This window comes from Homo sapiens, chromosome 7, assembly GCF_000001405.40.
Source record: "Homo sapiens chromosome 7, GRCh38.p14 Primary Assembly".
NCBI classification, from domain to species: domain Eukaryota; kingdom Metazoa; phylum Chordata; class Mammalia; order Primates; family Hominidae; genus Homo; species Homo sapiens.
This window is the reverse complement of record NC_000007.14, coordinates 2,672,796-2,690,783: the sequence shown is the minus strand read 5'-3', so window position 1 is coordinate 2,690,783 and position 17,988 is coordinate 2,672,796. Positions and strand designations below refer to the sequence as shown.

At 56.1% G+C, this 17,988-nt stretch overlaps 1 protein-coding gene across 12 annotated transcripts in view, besides 2 other annotated features; it reads right to left on the bottom strand.

Moving 5' to 3' along the window:
- AMZ1 (archaelysin family metallopeptidase 1) overlaps positions 1-11,262 on the bottom strand; it is an 85,617-nt gene extending 74,355 nt beyond the window's left edge. For 7 of the 12 annotated variants that reach the window (NM_001321766.2, XM_017011774.3, NM_001384740.1 and 4 more), the window contains exon 1: positions 2,488-2,582. The gene's annotated coding sequence lies outside the window, so the exon portion shown is untranslated. Of the gene's footprint in view, positions 1-2,487; positions 2,583-11,112 lie in introns of those variants that run through there. The other 5 variants (XM_011515151.4, NM_001384742.1, NM_133463.4 and 2 more) reach the window with 1 other exon arrangement.
- Positions 1,614-1,883: an enhancer, noted in NCBI's record as "active region_25544". NCBI's record gives its function as "activates an Ori minimal core promoter by ATAC-STARR-seq in GM12878 lymphoblastoid cells {active_cell/tissue: GM12878}" and the evidence as "EXISTENCE:reporter gene assay evidence [ECO:0000049][PMID:35858748]".
- Positions 9,458-9,963: an enhancer, noted in NCBI's record as "H3K27ac-H3K4me1 hESC enhancer chr7:2720455-2720960 (GRCh37/hg19 assembly coordinates)". NCBI's record gives its function as "activates a minimal SCP1, AML or CMV promoter by ChIP-STARR-seq in primed H9 embryonic stem cells {active_cell/tissue: H9 hESC(primed)}" and the evidence as "EXISTENCE:reporter gene assay evidence [ECO:0000049][PMID:30033119]".
- Positions 11,263-17,988: the final 6,726 nt, after the last annotated feature.

Sequence of the window (17,988 nt, the reverse complement as noted above, 5' to 3'; positions counted from 1 at the left end):
CCAACCTCAGGCCCATCTAAGTTATTCAGGGAGGACCGAATGGGAGCAACAGGAAGGGCCACAGCGACAAGTTTTGCAGGGGACCAGAGCACACGCACAGAGGAGCCACGACCACAGAGGCCGTTTGCACACCCGCAAGCAGTGGCGGGCACGTGGGTAACTCAAGAGCATCTACATCGGAAACCCAGCCAGAGACACAACACCACCTTCAGCCAACCTGAGCCGCCCGGGAAGGAGTGGCCACGCCAGCTCCAGACTAGCCCGGCTGGAAGATCAACAGGATGTGAGAGGCAAGCTCTAAAAATAGCCACCTCCCGGGACAATCGCTTGAGTCCAGGAGTTTGAGACCAGCCTGGGGAAATATGGCAAAACCCCGTCTCTACAAAACATTTTAAAAATTAGCTGGGCATGGTTGTGCATGCCTGTGGTCCCAGCTACTAGGGAGGCTGAGATGGGAGGATTGCTTTCGCCCTGGAGGTCGAGGCTGTGGTGAGCTATGATTGCATCACTGCATTCCAGCCTGGAAGACAGAGCAAGACCCTGTCTGTCTGTCTGTCTGTCTCTCTCTCTCTCTCACACACACACAAAAACACAGCCACCTCCTAGTGCAGACTGGAGAATGGTGTGACAGGCTCCAAGCTAGGAATGAGAACGCTTAGCTCCCTCCATCCCTTAACACGGGTACAGCTCTCGGGCATCCAGGGCATGACGTCTGCCCACATACTATTTCCTCTCAAGAAGCCTTGTGGCCACATTCGTCTTCGTGGGTCATTCAGGAAAACCCCGGTCCCCACTGTCAGCTGCCAGCTGAGTCCTTCCATCCTGCCAGGTCATTTCTGCACAAGACCACTCCTCACATAGAGCCAGAGCTGCATGTGAGCCCTGGGGGTACCCACGGGGAGGGAGCCGCCTTAGTGGGGGTCAGCTTCGCAGCACCCTCTGGCACTCACCAACCCATCCATGCTCCAAAAAGGAGACCCCCAGATGGAGGTTTCTCGCTGTCCTTTGGACCCTGTCACAGTGTGTCCCCCTCCTCTGCTAACTGCAGTCATGACAGCAGCCAACAGGTCTCATGCCTGCGTCCTCCAAGCCACACACGGAGCCGCAGGTGCCACTGCGGTGTTTCAGGTGGGGAAACTGAGGCTCAGACGTTAAGTGACTTGGCCCTGGCGACACAGCTGGGGGCCAGCGGGGCCTGGTTTCAAAGCCACGCTTCACACTGGAACCCCAGCTGCTCCTGGAGCAGGGATGTTCTGACGGGGACAGGGGGTAGGACGTCTCCTCTCCCAGAGCACCCGAGTTCCAGCCCTGCTGCTATTAATACCATGGGTAAACTCAGACGCTTCTCCTTCCTCCTCCCCTTGCCTTTTTTTGTCCAAAGACTGGAAAAGAGCACGTCCGCATCCCCCCCCCAGGGAGGTTCTGCCGCTCTAAGCAACAAGGGCCGCCAGACTGGCCCAGTAACCAGGTATCCAAGGTCAGGCTGCCCTAAACCGCACAGCTCCGGGCACTCATGCTCCCCCATCTGACCACGCAGATGCCTGGCCTTTGGGCAAGAAACCATGCTCTGATTCTCGCTATTCTGAATGCGCTTTGCAAAACCTCCCAGCAGCTGCATCGAGCTATTCATTAGCTGACAGCGGAGACCTTCAGGCAGAACCAGACGGACGGATGGTTTTGGGGGTTTCTCACCTCTCAGTTTCCATTCGCTAGGAGGGAAAACCGGGGGCTTAGACCGCAGGGGTAGTGGCCTCCGGGCCAGACTCTTGGCTTCCTGTTCTCTCTCCTCACCTGCGAACCCCAAACTCCTCTGCCAAGTGTTTCCCTCCCGTGATGGGGGCAGAAAGGACCCAGGTCCCTGCCCTCCCCTGTCCTTTGTAAAGTTTGCCATTTCTCTGTCACCCCTCCCTTGCTTTTCTGGTTTTGAGACCTGTCTTACATCCCTGCAGGGATCATATCCACAGCCTTCTCCCTCAGTCTCCTGGGGGAGGAAGCCTTCTCCCTCCCCGGCTCATACACAGGCTGCGGGGAGCCCTGGGCACGACGAGATTCTCGGCGCCCTGGAGGTTCCCCGGGGACGTCCCGCACCCACCTGGCTCGCCCCAGCCCGGAAACGCCTTCTTTCGGGCGCTTGGCCCTGGATTCCCGACCCGTCCCCAGTTTGCTCCCATCGGGAAGCGCGCAGGTCGCCCTGGCCTGGGAGAGGATGGCGGGGAGGGGGCGCGTGGCCCTTCCCTGGCCCGGCCTTCCCTCTGCAGGACCTGCCGGGGCTGTGCGGACCCCGGCGCGGCGCTGCACCAAACCCTCGCCAAGTGCGCCCTTCGCGTCTCCGCGGTCCCCGCGCGCCCGTAGCCGCCGCCGCCCGGGCGCCCTCGGGACTTGGTGCGCGGGCCGGGCTGGACCCGGAGCTGCCCCTACCCACCCGCCCCGGCACGGAGGTCCCTCTCGGTCCCTGCGCCCCCGAGTCTTCCCCGCGCGCCCCCCTACCTCGCAGTCCCGCGCCCGCCGGAGCCGGCAGAGGCCGCGCCGGGCACCGAGCCCCGGGCAGCAGCGTGGGCAGCTCGGCCTGGGCCGGGAGGATCGGGAGGTCCCGGTGACGTCGGCGCGCGGGGCAGGGACCGAGGCGGGCGGGACTGGGGCCGGTGTGGGGCCGCGGGCAGGACAGGAGGGCCACACCCCTCCCGGCGCTCAGCGTCCTGCCCCACTCCCTCCAGCTGCCCGCGGTGGAGCTCACGTGGGACCCTCCAGCCTCCCAGAAACACCCGGGCAGGGGGGCCCCAGAGCCTAAAGCCAAACAGGTGAGGGAGGTCAGTCAGCCCGGGCCAGTTCGTGCCTCCCCAGGTGAGAGGAGTAAACCCGGCTACTCTGCAAGGCGCCAGGTGAAGAGGTGAACCAGGCCACCAGTTAAGGCCCCAGGTGAGAGGGGTGAACCAGCGCCACGAGGTGAGGAAGGGGAACCAGGCCACCAGGAGAGGCCCCAGGTGAGAGGGGTGAACCAGGCTATCAGGCAAGGCGCCAGGTGAGGGGGTGAACGAGGCCACCAGGTGAGGAGGTGAACCAGGCTTATCAGCGAAGCCCCAGGTGAGAGGGGTGAACCAGGCCCCTAGGTTAGCCCTACAGTCAGTGGCCCTGAGGACGGGCGCCCTGCCCTACCCTGGCCAGCTGTGAGTGCAGCCCTGGCCCTGTGCCAGCCACCAGGAGATGGAAAGGACTCTAAGTGCGGAAGGATGCCGTGAAGGCCGGCATGACGGCTCCAGACAGAGCCCAGAGGCCTTTTCCATAAACTGCCCTTTTCCTCTCTGCAAACCCTCCCAGCACCAGCTTCCCTCGGGCAGCCTCCCACCAGCTCTGCTTCACCGTGCAGAAATGCCCCCCACGCCCTCAGCAGCGCCCCACAGATGGCTGAGGGATTCGTCACCATCGTCCCACACCAGTGCAAAGAATTTTTTTTTTTTTTTAGATGGAGTCTCGCTCTGTCGCCCAGGCTGGAGTGTAATGGTGCAATCTGGGCTCACTGCAACCTCCACCTCCGGGGTTCAAGTCATTCTTCTGCCTCAGCCGCCTGAGTAGTGGGGATTATAGGTACCCATCATTGTGTCCAGCTAATTTTTGTATTTTTAATAGAGATGGGGTTTCACCTTCTTGGCCAGGCTGGTATCAAACTCTTGACCTCATGATACACCCGCCTCAGCCTCTCAAAGTGCTGGGAGTACAGGCGTGAGCCACCACACCCAGCCTCAAAGAATTTTTTTAAGCCTTAAGAAATAACACGGCTGGGCGTGGTGGCTCATGCCTGTAATCCCAGCACTTTGGGAGGCTGAGGCAGACAGATCACAAGGTCAGGAGTTCAAGACCGGCCTGGCCAGTATGGTCAAACCCCGTCTCTATTAAAAATAAAAAAATTAGCTGGGCGTGGTGGCTGGTGCCTATAGTCCCAGCTACTCGGGAGGCTGAAGCAGGAGAATCACTTGAACCCGGGAGGCGGAGGTTGCAGTGAGCCGAGATTATGCCACTGCACTCCAGCCTGGGTGACAAAGCAAGACTTTGTTTCAAAAAAAAAAGAGAGAGAGAGAAAAACAACACAACACTAGGTGTCCGGTGTGCAAAATTTGGAAAATTATGAAAAATAAAAACAAAAAGAAGACCCCATAAGCCAACTGTGTAGAGGTAACCTCTCTCACCTTCTTGTCAGACATCCTTCTGATCGCCTTCTCCTCCACATTGAAATGTATTTTTAAAAAGTTTTTTTTGAGACAGGATCTTGCTCTATTGCCCAAGCTAGAATGCACTGGTATAAACGCGAGTCACTGTAGCCTCGACCTCCTAGACTCCAGCAATCCTCCTCCCTCAGCCTCCTGAGTAGCTGAGACTACAGGTACGTGCCATCACACCTGGCTAATTTTGAAACTTTTATGTAGAGATGGGATCTCGCTATGTTGCTCAAGCTGGTCTCAAACTCCTGGGCTCAAACAACCCTCCCAGCTCGGCCTCCCAAAATGTTGAGATCACAGGTATGAGCCACCGTGCCCAGCCTAAATACATATTTTAAGGGATTCACGTCACATACTGCGTTCTGCAGGCGGCCCGTGACTTCACACTCATCAATAGCCAAAAGTCCGTCTCCACACCCTGATGGTCTGCGCTGGACTCCGTGTCATGGATCTGTCACCTGCTTTGGGATATTTTGGTTTCTCCTGGTGTCTCACTAGCATATATCACTGTGATAGACGATCTTGTTTCCACAGATCTTTGTACAGGTATCTGGTCCCCCTCACCTTGGGATAAATTCCTACAAATAGATTGTGACTCAGAAAGCTGCACTTCTTCACACGTGTTGCCGCAGGGATTTTCCAGGTTATTTCTGTTGGGGATGGAGAACCCAGAACCTGAGAAAAGATGAATGTTCTTTTTTTTTTTTTTTTTTTTTTCTTGAGACGGAGTCTCGCTCTGTCACTCAGGCTGGAGTGCAGTGGCGTGATCTCGGCTCACTGCAAGCTCCACCTCCCGGGTTCACACCATTCTCCTGCCTCAGCCTCCTAAGTAGCTGGGACTACAGGCGCCTGCCATCATGCCTAGCTAATTTTTGTGTTTTTAGTAGAGATGGGGTTTCACCATGTTGGCCAGGATGGTCTCGATCTCCTGACCTCGTGATCCGCCTGCCACGGCCTCCCAAAGTGCTGGGATTACAGGCATGAGCCACCGCACCCGGCCTTTTTTTTTTTTTGAGACGGAGTCTCACTCTGTTGCCCAGAGCTGGAGTACAAGTGGCGCGATCTCGGCTCACTGCAAACTCCACTTCCTGGGTTCAAGCGATTCTCCTGCCTCAGCCACCCAAGTAGCTGCGATTACAGGTGCCCGTCACCTCGCCCGGCTAATTTTTGTATTTTTAGGAAGGACAGGGCTTCACCCTGTTGGCCAGGCTGGTCTCGAACTCCTGACTTCAAGTGATCCACCCGCCTTGGCCTCCCAAATTGCTGGGATTACAGGCGTGAGCCACCGAGCCTGGCCTGAATGTTCTGTCCTAAAGCTGCTTATTACAAAGAAGTTGTGGAATATCCTCCCCCCAACCCCCACGCCCCTCCCTGAATAGCCACCGGAAAGGAAATTATGCATCGAGGCCGGGCGCGGCGGCTCAACCTGTAATCCCAGCACTTTGGGAGGCCGAGGCGGGCGGATCACGAGGTCAGAAGATCAAGACCATCCTGGCTAACACAGTGAAACTCCATCTTTACTAAAGATACAAAAAATTAGCCGGGCGTGGTGGCGGGCGCCTGTAGTCCCAGCTACTCAGGAGGCTGAGGCAGGAGAATGGCGTGAACCTGGGAGGCGGAGCTTGCAGTGAGCTGAGATCGCGCCACTGCACTCCAGCCTGGGCGACAGAGACTCCGTCTCAAAAAAAAAAAAAAAAAAAGCAATTATGTGTCAAGCCCAGAGTGGCAGTTCCTCCTCTGTCTGTTGGGTCAGCCCGGGAGACTGGAAGCCCAGATGAGTAGGGCCCCTCCTGGGTGCCCCAAGTTGGGTGGCGCCATGCCCAGTGCCAGGACCCCCGAAACACAGAGGCAGCCTGCTGATGACCTGGCCCCTGCCAGCCAAGGCTTCACTCAGCCAACGCCCTGTCCACACTGCACCCGGGACACGCTGGTCTCCCACCGGCAGACTGCACACCCCTTTCTGGTTGAAGCTACCTCGTCAGAGTCTATTCTAGAAAGAGGCCGTGATATGGGGACCCCTGTCCTTTCAGTGATGAACAAAGGGGGCCGCCCCCAACTTTGACCCCATCACCATCCTCTGACCCAGGCCGACTTGGGGTTAAAAGAGAACTGTGTGGCCTGGGGAAGCTGCTTCACCTTGCCCTGCCTCAGTTTCCCCAGGGTGGGTTACATAGCGGCTCCCAAAAATGTGCCTACTTGCACCATCAGAATGGGACCTTATTTGGAAACCGAGTCGTTGCAGATATGGTTAAAGTAAGGATCTCAAGATGAGGTCATCCTGGGTCAGAGTCAGGGTGGGCCCTAAATCCAATGCAAGTGACTTTGTAAGAGACAGAAAGAGGTTCCTCATTGGAGGAACAAGACAATGTAAAAAATAATGACAATTTTTTTTTTTGAGATGGAGTCTCGCTCTGTCACCCGGGCTGGAGTGCAGTGGCGTGATCTTGGCTCACTGCAACCTCTGCCTCCCAGGTTCAAGCGATTCTCCTGCTTCAGCCTCCTGAGTAGCTGGGATTATAGGCGCGTGCCACCAAGCCCAGCTAATTTTTGTATTTTTAGTAGAGATGGGGTTTCACTGTGTTGGCCAGGCTGGTCTTAAACTCCTGACCTCAAGTGATCCACCCGCCTCGGCCTCCCAAAGTGCTGGGATTATAGGCATGAGCCACTACACCCAGCCAACAATTTTTTAAAAAGAGAGAGAAAGAGGCTGGGTGAGGTGGCTCACGCCTGTAATCTCCAACACTTTGGGAAGCCGAGGTGGGAGGATCACTTGAGCCCAGGAGTTGGAGACCAGCCTGGGCAGCATCTCTACAAAATATTGTAAAAAACAGACAGAGCTGGGCGCGGTGGCTCGCGTCTCTAATCCCAGCACTTTGGGAGGCCAAGGCAGGCGGATCACGAGGTCAGGAGATCGAGACCATCCTGGCTAACACGGTGAAACCCCGTCTCTATTAAAAATATAAAAAAATTAGCCAGGCGTGGTGGCAGGCACCTGTAGTCCCAGCTACTCGGGAGTCTGAGGCAGGAGAATGGTGTGAACCTGGGAGGCGGAGCTTGCAGTGAGCCGAGATCGTGCCACTGCACTCCAGCCTGGGTGACAGAGCCAGACTCTGTCTCAAAAAAAACAAAAACAAAAACAAACAAACAAACAAAAAAACAGAAAGTTGAAGACACAGAGACACAGAGGAGAAGACGGAGATGGGAGTGGTGCAGCCACAAGCCAAGGACACCTGGAGCCCCCAGAAGCAGGAAGAGGCAGGAAGGACCTTCCCCTGGAGCCCTCTGCAGAAGTTCGGCCCTGCCCCAGCCTTGACTTCAGACCACTGCCCTCCAGAATTGACAGTGAATGTGTGCTGTTTGAAGCCGCACAGCTGTGGTCATTTGTCACGGCAGCCGCAGGAAACTCATCCACATTGGAAAACAGGAAAATGCTTCACACGGGTTTTATAAGGAAGAGGAAAACTCTCCCGGGGCATTGGCACAAGGAGTCCTGGGAAGCAGCAGCTGCTCACCCAGCAAACTCGAGCCACAGAACAGGGGCTTGGCCTCTCTGCAGCTCAGCCCTGCTCCAAGGCCAGCAGGCGAGGGTGCAGGCAGACAGTGCTGTGGGGACAGAGGAGGACGGCTCTGAGGCTGGCTTCACCGCACAGCAAGATGAGCCCGGGTCAACGGCAGAGATGGGGGTGTGCCAGGTGGAAGGAACCGTGCGAGCACAGGCCTCCCTGTACAGAATGCCTGCAGGGATCTGGGCAAAGATGGGTGCAGGAAGTGGGGCAGGGTCAGAAAAGCTGGAGAAGAGATGAGGCCGCATCTGGGGAGGGGGGTTGCTGAGGGCCAGGGGCTGGGGGGTGAAGGGGCTCGGAACACAAGCAGGGGAGCCGTGTATGGCCCAAGCAGGGGTTTCCATGGCCCGACACTGAGGTCTCCTGGGTGCAGTAGGTGACGTCCAGGAAGGAGGCAAAGGGGTCTGAATCCTGGTCCAGGCAGGATGCACGGGGCCTGACCCCAGCACTGCCTGCGGGACTTGGGGTGTCCTAGCACAGAGTACAGTCAAGCCCTCTTCCCTGCCATGGGCTCCGTGCCCGTGCCTCCGTTTCCCCAGGCCTCCCTGGAGCTGTCGCTGGAGCACTGTAGGAATGCAAAGCAAAGCTAAGGACCCTCGCATCGGCCTGAGGCCTCCTGGGCAGCCATTCTTCAAGGGACTGTGTGCTGGGGGCCCACCCGGTGTCATCTCATGCTGGACACGAGACCCTGACTCCTGGAGCTGCAGTTCCCACCCCCCACCCTGTCCTGGGGTAGCTGGGGACCCTCTCAGGCCTGAGGGGAGGACAGGAGCTCCCCAGCACGAAGAGCGGGGGGAGGCCAAGCAGGGCGAGCTCCCAGACAGGCTCAGCTGGCCCTGGCCCCGGCCCAGCCTCCCTGTGCCCAGCCTGTGAGGCCGCCCTTTGAGCTTCTGGATTAGTATTCACGTCGGGTCCCCAGCTCTGAAAGCCCTTGTTCCCTCCAGAGAGCAGCCAGAGCGGCTGGAGCTGGGGGCGCGCTCAGTGCAAAGTGACAGCCCCAGCACATAAACTGGGGCCCTTAGCCCGCTCCCCCAGGACCCCTCCTCCGCTGTTTGGGCTCCCATGGGCTCAGCAAGGCTGGGGGACTGGGAGGGAGGGGCCGCCTGTCCATCTCTCTGTCTGTCTGTCTGTCTCTCTGAGTTTCTATCTCTGTCTGTCTGTCTCTGTCTCTTGGGGTTCTTGGTCTCTCTCTCTGTCACCATCTCCCTCCTCCCTCCATCCCTGTCTCCTACCCTCTCATGCTGTGTGTAGTCAGGGGCCCCAGGAGTAACCCCACATGTAGTTTCTCCAGCAGGAAAAGACACACGGACCAGGCACGTGGGGACGAATCTCCAATGACATCTCCCTGCACCACCTGTCCCTGTCGGGGTCTGTCTTGACTCTGAGCTGTCTGCAGACTTCCCCACAGCCCCCACAGTTGGACCCCAACAACAAGAATAACAAAGGCTTGGCTGGGCACCGTGGCTCATGCCTGTAATCCCAGCACTTTGAGAGGGCAAGGCGGATGGATCTCTCGAGCCCTGGAGTTTGAGAGCAGCCTGGGCAGGATAGCAAGACACCCCCATCTCTACAAAAATTAAAAAAAAATTAGCCGGGCGTGGTGGCATGCACCTGGGAGGCTGAGATGGGAGGATCACCTGAGGGCGTGGTGGCATGCACCTAGGAGGCTGAGGTGGGAGGATCACCAGAGGCCGGGGAGGTCAAGGCTGCAGTGAGCCATGATTGCACCACTGCACTCCAGCCTGGGCAAGAGTGAGACCCCGTCTCAAAAAATAATAATGAATAACAAAAGCTGTGTTGATGATGCCCATGGCCAGGCGCACGCTAGCCAGGCTGACTTGGGGCTTTCGGGCCTGAGTGGCACCGAGCTCAGCCATGGCCCCGCTCCAGCCCTGCATCCTCAACTCTGAAACGTAGTTCTAAGATGGATGGGATTGGCCACGAGGGGGCATCCGTGGGCAGGGAAGCAAACAGTCGGTGCTCAGCGTCCTGGAAGGTTTCTGACCTGGAGGCCGCCCTGCCCGGCGCCTGTGGGTCAGTACCCCATTGGTGGATGCGGGGATCCCGAAGGCCTGGTGTCTGGTGACTTGGCCAGGCGCCTACCCAGGGCCACACCACGGACCATGGAAATCTCCTCGGAGTCCTCAGACACGCCTGGCCCCGGGCTTGACCAGCAGGGTCGTCAGGGAGGCCCAGCATCCATCAGGGTCGTGCCCTGGGAAGGAGCCCCCAGTGAGCGCATGGGCTGCGCTGGGCAGGCCTGTGAGGCACGTGAGGGGCCCCAACTCTGTGGCCAGCACGAGGAGGCTGAACCCACGGCCCAGCGGCTTCGTCCAAGAGACCAGAGCTGGCCTGAAGCAGCCAAGACCTTCCTGAGCCATCACCTCCACCTCCCACATAGTCGGAGCTGGGGTCGGGGGTGAAAATGAGGACGGAGCCCCTACTCCTTGGGCATCTCCAGCAACCCCAGCCACAGAGGGGATCTCAGGTAGCAAGGAAAGCTGGGGTGCCAAGGACGTGCCCGGCTCCCTCTTGAGGCTTCGCGGCCCAGGGCGGCTGCATGTCTGGGCTCCTGGAAACACCTGGAGAAGCCCTGCAGGATCCGGGGTCTCCCGGGGTCTCCAGTGCCTGCTGGGTGGGCTGCACACCTGCCCAGCCTGGCAGGGCTCGGGGAGCCTGTGGGGCCGGAGACCCAGGCAGGTCCCCAGAGAGCCGAGTGCCTGTTAATGGGGGCTCCAGAAGCAGCCCCCTGGTGAGACCGCCACCAGCACCCAGACCTTCTCAGCGCCTCCCATCCCAGGAAACCACATCATCCCAGCCCTGCCCTCCTTCTTCAAGTGCCACTGTCACCAAGGAGCATCTAGTCAACCTCCAAAATCTCTCTCAACTGCCCGCCCCACCCAGGCCGGCTATAGACTCCCCAGCTTCCACACACCCCCTGCCAAGCCACTTGCCCCAACAGGAAGCCTTTCAAAGACCACGTCTCACTACCGCCAGCTGTGAGCTGCGTCCCTCAGCTCTGTCTGCCCCAGCCTCACATCCCTAGTTCCTACCTCCGGGGTCCCTCTGCCTACGAGGCACCCTTCACCCCCAGCTGGGCCTCCTCAACTCGGATGAAGCCCCAGGATGAAGCTCCTTCAGGGCTATGGCCCCTCGCCACCTCTCCCGGGCTCCAGACTCTGTCCTTTCTTCCCTGGTCTCCTGGCCTTTGCCCAGGCTGTGCCCTCTGCCTGGAGCAGCAGCCTGGATGCCTCCCACCCCACATTTAGGCTTCAGGCCCCACAGCTGCCTCTTCCCAGAACCCTCCCGGCACGCACTTCGGTGACTCTTACAAGTACCTGTTCAGCGTCAGCCTTCGCCCAGGAGTGCAGGCTGGGGACGAGGGCAGTGGCCACCTCTGCCGGTCCTGTCAGCACCTAGTGCAAAGTCCAGCCCACCGTGGGCGCTCAACGCAGGCGGCTGTGCTGCCGCAGGTCACAGCACCAATCAGACACCCCCATCCCCACACACACCCTGCACCGGCCCACGCGGCCATCACACTCGGAGCACACGCGCTCCGATGTGGCTGCACTGTTGGCACACGCACAGGCGCGCACACACCCACACGCACGAGCGCACACGTGGGCGCACACACGCCGGGGCGCCCTGACCTCCCCGCACGCCCTCCCGCAGCCGCCCCGGCCTCTGTCCCCACGCGTGTCACACACGGCCGGGTGTGCTCGCTCACGCCGTCCCGCGACGTTGCTCCAGCCGGCGCCCGGAGCTCGATCGGGAGAGCTGCTGTTGGCCGCCTCTGCCTGCCAGCGTTTGCCAAGCGGTTTCCATGGTGACACATCTTGGCTCCGACAGGAACCAAGGAGTGTGGGGAAGAGGGTCCCCACGGAGGGGCGAGGCGAGGCAGGAGGTCTCTGCGTCTTCAGGCTCCCGGCAGGCATGGGGGGCTCCACGAGTGCAGACACCCCCCAGTCCCAAGCCAGGCTTGCACCCCGAGAAGGAGGCTCTGGGCTGGTCCCTCTGGGCTGCCTGGCACAGGGGCTGACTTAGTCAGTCATTCAACAAACTTTCTGGAAGAGCCACTCTGTGCTCACAGCCGGGTCTACGATGCTGCCCAAGACGTGGTCTCGCAAGAGGCTCGGAGTCGAATCCTGAGGCTAAACTGACGTCCCGCCACCCTACTGAAGGCCCCATCTAGCAGGTTGGTCCGTGGCTGCGTAAGCACCAAGGCCCACCGAGCACTTTCTCAAAGGGGGGCTCCCCTCTGTGGTAGATCAGTTACAAACGTGTCCCCGATGCCCCACTCCTCCCCTGAATCACCACGCCCTTTGCCGTGTGACTTTGCCCCAACTCCTGTCTAGAGGTGGCGTCTACTTCCCCATCCTTCAATCTGAGCCTGTCTTATGACTTGCTGTGGCCAATAAAACGTGACAGCAATGACATTCCCAGTTCTGAGCTTAAGCCTCCAGGGACATGCGTGCCTCTGCCTGCTCTCCCCGACTCCTGCTATAGCACGAGAACGGGCTGGGCTGCTTTGCTGGAAGGCAAGAGGGCCATGGAGCCTGGGTCACCCTAGCTGAGGCCATCCTGGACTAGCTAGCTCCCAGCTGCCCACAGATGTGTGAGTGAGCCCAGCTAGGACTTGCCAGGCCTAGCAATGAGCAGCAGTACCACCAGGCCCTTTAATACTAAGGACATGTGAAGTCATGTGTTTGGAGCTATTTGTTACTCAGCACTAGCTACCTGATACCCCTCTCTCTAGGGCCCTGGCCAGCAGCTGCCCAACCTCAGTTAGCACAGGCCAGAGGCTCTAAAAGTTCCCAGGGGTGCTAAGAACCAGGCCATGGTGACAGCTGGATTCCGCTGGCTAACAGTGCCAGAGGGTGCCAGGGACAGAGCTTGTGGGAGGGGGTTCCCAAGTCAAGTCCATGGCAGGAGCTACTGAAGCAGAAGCACGAGTCTCCACTGCCTTTCTTTGCCTCGGTTTTTCCCCCTGTGAAATGGGCCCATCACCCTGTCCTGTCTCCTGGGGACCCCTGGTAAGGTAGCGTGTGTGGCAGCTGGAAACAGACCTACTACGTGCCAGCCCCGGGTTGCAACCTAGGGAGAGAGGCCCATTGCTGCCTTCTAGGTTCCCACAACTGAGAAGGCAGCGTCACTAATCCCAGCTTACAGACTGGAAACAGTGGGGAGAGGATGAGTGGCTTGCCCGAGGCCCAGGACACACAGGAGCAGGTGGGCATGGCCACAAGCCCCGGCTGGGTCTGAGCTGGTGGTTATCTTCATGTTTTTCTCCCTGTGGTCACCTTTTTGGAAATATTGTACTTCCTAAGCTAACTGCACTTACGAGGTAATGATTGGTGTGAGTTTATAGTCTCTTTTTTGTTTGTTTGTTTTTTGAGACAGAGTCTCATTCTGTCACCCAGGCTGGAGTGCAGTGGCACAATCTTGGCTCACTGCAACCTCTGCCTCCCGGGTTCAAGCGATTCTCCTACCTCAGCCTCCTGAGTAGCTGGGATGACAGGCACCCGCCACCATGCCCAGCTAATTTTTGTATTTTTAGTAGACAAGGTCTCACCATGTTGGCCAGGCTGGTCCTGAACTCCTGACCTCAAGTGATCCACCCGCCTCGGCCTCTCAAAATGCTGGGATTACAGGCGTGAGCCACTGCGCCCCGGCTCGCTCCCTTTTATTTTATTTTTTTTTTTTTTGAGACAGAGTCTCACTCTGTTGCCCAGGATAGAGTGCAGTGGTGCGATTTTGGCTCACTGCAACCTTTGCCTCCCGGATTCAAGTGATTCTCCTGCCTCAGCCTCCTGAGTAGCTGTGATTACAGGTGCCCACCACCATGCCTAGCTAATTTTTGTATTTTTAGTGGACGGGGTCTCACCGTGTTAGCCAGGCTGGTCTTGAACTCCTGAGCTCAAGAGATCCGCCCACCTCGGCCTCCCAAAGTGCTGAGATTACAGGTGTGAGCCACCACGCTGGGCCCTGCAGTCTCTTTTCACTGGGTACTGCGGTTCAGTGTTACTGCCTAGGGGCAGCTGATCCGCAGAGCCCCTCCCTCTCTGAGTTCCCCCAGGCCAGAGCTGAGAGCCAGGCTCTCCAGATCCCTGTGGGAGGGCCTTGTATCTGAGTCCAGTTTTCCTCCAGCACGAGGCCTGGCATTTAATTACCTGCTGTCTTGTCAGCTGTTCAGTGTTCCTGGCCTTTGGATATTTCACCCAGCGTGTTTCATTGTCTTCAGGGAAACGGCTGGTCCAGGCACCTAGCCTGCTGTCACCGGGAAGGGACATGTGCCCCGAGGCGGGGCTGATGTCACTGCTGCACCCTGGTGGGGCACACCAGCCCACGGCTGTGCCACCCAGGAGGTGCCCTTTTGTTGGAGGGCATTTGCCAAAACCAGCAAACTTGGGTTCTCATTCTGTGGCCTTGAGGGGTCAAGGGGACAGAAGTCAGGGCCAGTCCTGCCCAAAATGGGGAGCATTATAGAAAACCCTTCCCACCTTAAGCTGAAAACCTAAAGGTCTACACTCTTAGGGTAAGAATGAAACGGAATTAGCCCTGCTCCCTCCACACGAAAGACACTTGGTGCTAAGAGAAGCAAAAAGAAAAAGTTCTTGAGAAGTTAGGGCTACAGGTCTTCTCTAGCACAGATTTGAGGTGCTAGCACAGATTTGAGGTGCTGCCAAGAATGCAGAGAACTCCAAGCACTCAATGCGTTGTTTGTTTTGACATAGGGTCTCTCTCTGTCACCCAGGCTGGAGTGCGGTGGTGTGATCACGGCTCACTGCAGCCTCGAACTCCTGGGCTCAAGCAATCCTCCCACCTCAGCCTCCCAAGTAGCTGGGACTTCAGGTGCATACCACCATGCCCAGCTAATTAAAAACAAAAGAGATACGGCAGGTGGATCACCTGAGGTTAGGAGTTTGAGACCAGCCTGGCCAAACTGGTGAGATTCTGTCTCTACTAAAAATACAAAAATTAGCCAGGCATGATGGTGGGCGCCTGCAATCCCAGCTACTGGGGAGGCTGAGGCAGAATTGCTTGAACCCAGGAGGCGGAGGTTGCAGTGAGCCGAGATCACACCACTGCACTCCAGCCTGGGCAACAAGACTGAGACTCCATCTCCGAACAAAAAAAAATGTGTAGAGATGGGGTCTTGCTATGTTGCCCAGGCTATTCTCAAACTCCTGGCCTTAAACAATCCTCCTACCTCGGCCTCCCAAAGTGCTGGGATTACAGGCATGAGCCACTGCGCCCAGACCTTTGGGGGGCCAGTATATTTGGTTTGCTGTGGCCTCCAGTGGGTAATGCCCCAAATTAGCTCCTCCCTAGCGGATTCCACCTTCATCCCAGGCCTCAAAGAATCTCTCCATCAACATTTTTCAAAGCCAAAGAGCAGCATGCAGCTAAAGATGACCAAGAACACAGGGAAACAAGGCACCATGAGTGACCTGCACAGGCTGCAGACACGAGGACGGTCACACACTGTGCCAGACACTGGGGTGTTTGTGTGCTATGACTATGACTGACACTGGCCAGGTGGTCCTGTTGAGTTGTTTCCAGGCACCTGGCCTAACCACAGTCCCCAGAATCCTTCGTGGCTGGGCACGGCCACATGGCTGAAGTCTGGACGATGGAATGTGGTTGATAATGACAGGAGCAACCTCCAGTCCCAGCCGATAATAAACTCTCAAAGAAGTTAGTTAAGGGAGGGCCGAGTGCAGTAGCTCATGCCTGTAATCCTGTCACTTTGGGAGGCAGAGGCGGGTGGATCACCTGAGGTCAGGAGTTTGAGGCCAGCCTGGCCAACATGGCGAAACTCCATCTCTATTAAAAATACAAAAATTAGCCGGGTGTGATGGCACATACCTGTAATCCCAACTACTCGGGAGGCTGAGGCAGGAGAGTCGCTTGAACCCAGGAGGCACAGGTTACCATGAGCCAAGATTGTGCCACTGCACTCCAGCCTGGGTGACACAGTGAGACACTGTCTCAAAAAAAAAAAAAAAAAAAAAAAGAGGAAACGGGGAAGAGGAGATGGGAGATGAGAGGAGAAAGGAGAGAGAAAGAATATTTCAAAGGATAGAGGCTAAGAATTTCCCAGAACTGATGAAAAAACCACTAATCCACAGATTCAAGAATCCCAGCGAATTCCAAGCAGAATAAATAAAAAGAAACTCTCACCTACATAAGACAGTAAAACTGCAGAAAACCAAGGACAATTCAAAAAAAATAAATCTTAAAAGCAGCCAGAGGAAAAAGAGAGGTTACTTTGAAAGAACAGACATTAGACTGACAGCCAAACTCTCGAACACGGCAACAGAAGTCGGAGGACGCTGGGATGTGCTGAACAAACCAATGTACTACAAGAAAGTAACTGCCTAGCTGGATGTGGTGTGGTGGCTCACGCCTGTAATCTCAGCACTTATGGGGGCCAAGGCAGGAGGATCACTTGAGACCAGGTTGGTCTCGAACTCCTGACCTCAGGTGATCCGCCCACCTCAGCCTCCCAAAGTGCTGGAATTACAGGCGTGAGCCACTGCGCCCAGCCCCCAGGAATAATTTTAACCAAAAAGGTGAAAGATCTGTACACTGGAAACTCTTAAGACACCAATTTAAATAACTGAAGAGGACACAAATAAATGGAAAGAAATCCCATGTTCATAGATGAGAGTAACTAATATTTTTTAAATGTCCATACTACCCAAAGTGCTCTATAGCCTTAATGCAATTCCTATCAAAATTCCAGTGGCATTTTTCATAGAAGTTGAAAAAACAATCCTAAAATTCATATGGAACCACAAAAGACCAAAGAGCCAAAGTAATTCTGAAAAAGAACAAAGCTGGTGGCATCCCATTACCTGACTTCAAAGTATACTACAAAGTTACAGTAAGCAAAACAGCATGGTACTGGCATAAAAACACACACACAGACCAGTGGAACAGAAGAGAGTACAGACATAAACCCTCACATACATGATTAGTCTTTGATAAGGGTGCCAAGAATACACAGTGGGGAAAGGACAGTCCCTTTAATAAAAGAGGAACAGACTACTCAGGAGGCTGAGGCAGGAGAATCAGTTGAACCTGGGAGGCAGAGGTTGCAGTGAGCTAAGATTGCGCCATTGCACTCCAGCCTGGACAACAGAGCGAGACTCTGTCTCAGTAAATAAATACATAAATAAATAAAAGAGGACCTAGGGAGACTATCTCTACAAACATTTTAAAAATTAGTTGGGTGTGGTGGCATGTGCCTATAGTCCCAGCTACTTGGGAGGCTGAGGCAGGCTGATGGCTTGGGCCCAGAAGTTGAAGCTGCAGTGAACTATGACTGTGCTACTGCACTCCAGCCTGGGCCACAGAGCAAGACCCCATCTCTAAAACAACACTAAAACAGCACTAGGCGCAGTGGCTCATGCCTATAATCGCAGCACTTTGGGAGGCCAAGGCAGGCAAATTACTTGAGCTCAGGAGTTCAAGACCAGCCTGGGCAACATGGCACAACTTCATCTCTACAAAAAATACCCCCCAAAAATAGCCAGGCATGATGATGTGTGACTGTGGGAGGCTGAGGTGGGAGGATCACTTGAGCCTGGCATGCACAGGCTAGTGAGCTGAGATTGCATCACTGCACTCCAGCCTGGGCGACAGATCAAAACTCTATCTCAAAATAAATACATAAATAAATAAAGATAAAAATAAAATAAATTGGCCAGGCGGAGTGGCTCACGCCTGTAATCACAGCACTTTGGGAGGCTGAGGTGGGTCAATCACCTGAGGTCAGGAGTTCGAGACCAGCCTGGCTAACATAGTGAAACTCCGTTTCTACTAAAAATACAAAAAATTAGCCAGGCATGGTGGCGTGCGCCTGTAATCCCAGCTACTCGGGAGGCTGAGGCAGGAGAATCACTTGAACCCAGGAGGCACAGGTTGCAGTGAGCCGAGATCGTGCCATTGCACTCCAGCTTGGGCAACAAGAGCGAAACTCCATCACAAAAAATAGACAGACAGACAGACAGATAGATAAAAAATAAATAAACAGTGCTGGGAAAACTGGATATCCACATGCGAATGAATGACACTGGACCCCTGTCTCAGATCATTATTATTAAATTAACTCAAAAAGGATTAAAGACTTCAATGCCATTTATTTTGAGTAGAAATAAGTCATTTATTTAATACATCAAAATGTGGGATTTCTTGACCTTGCTTCT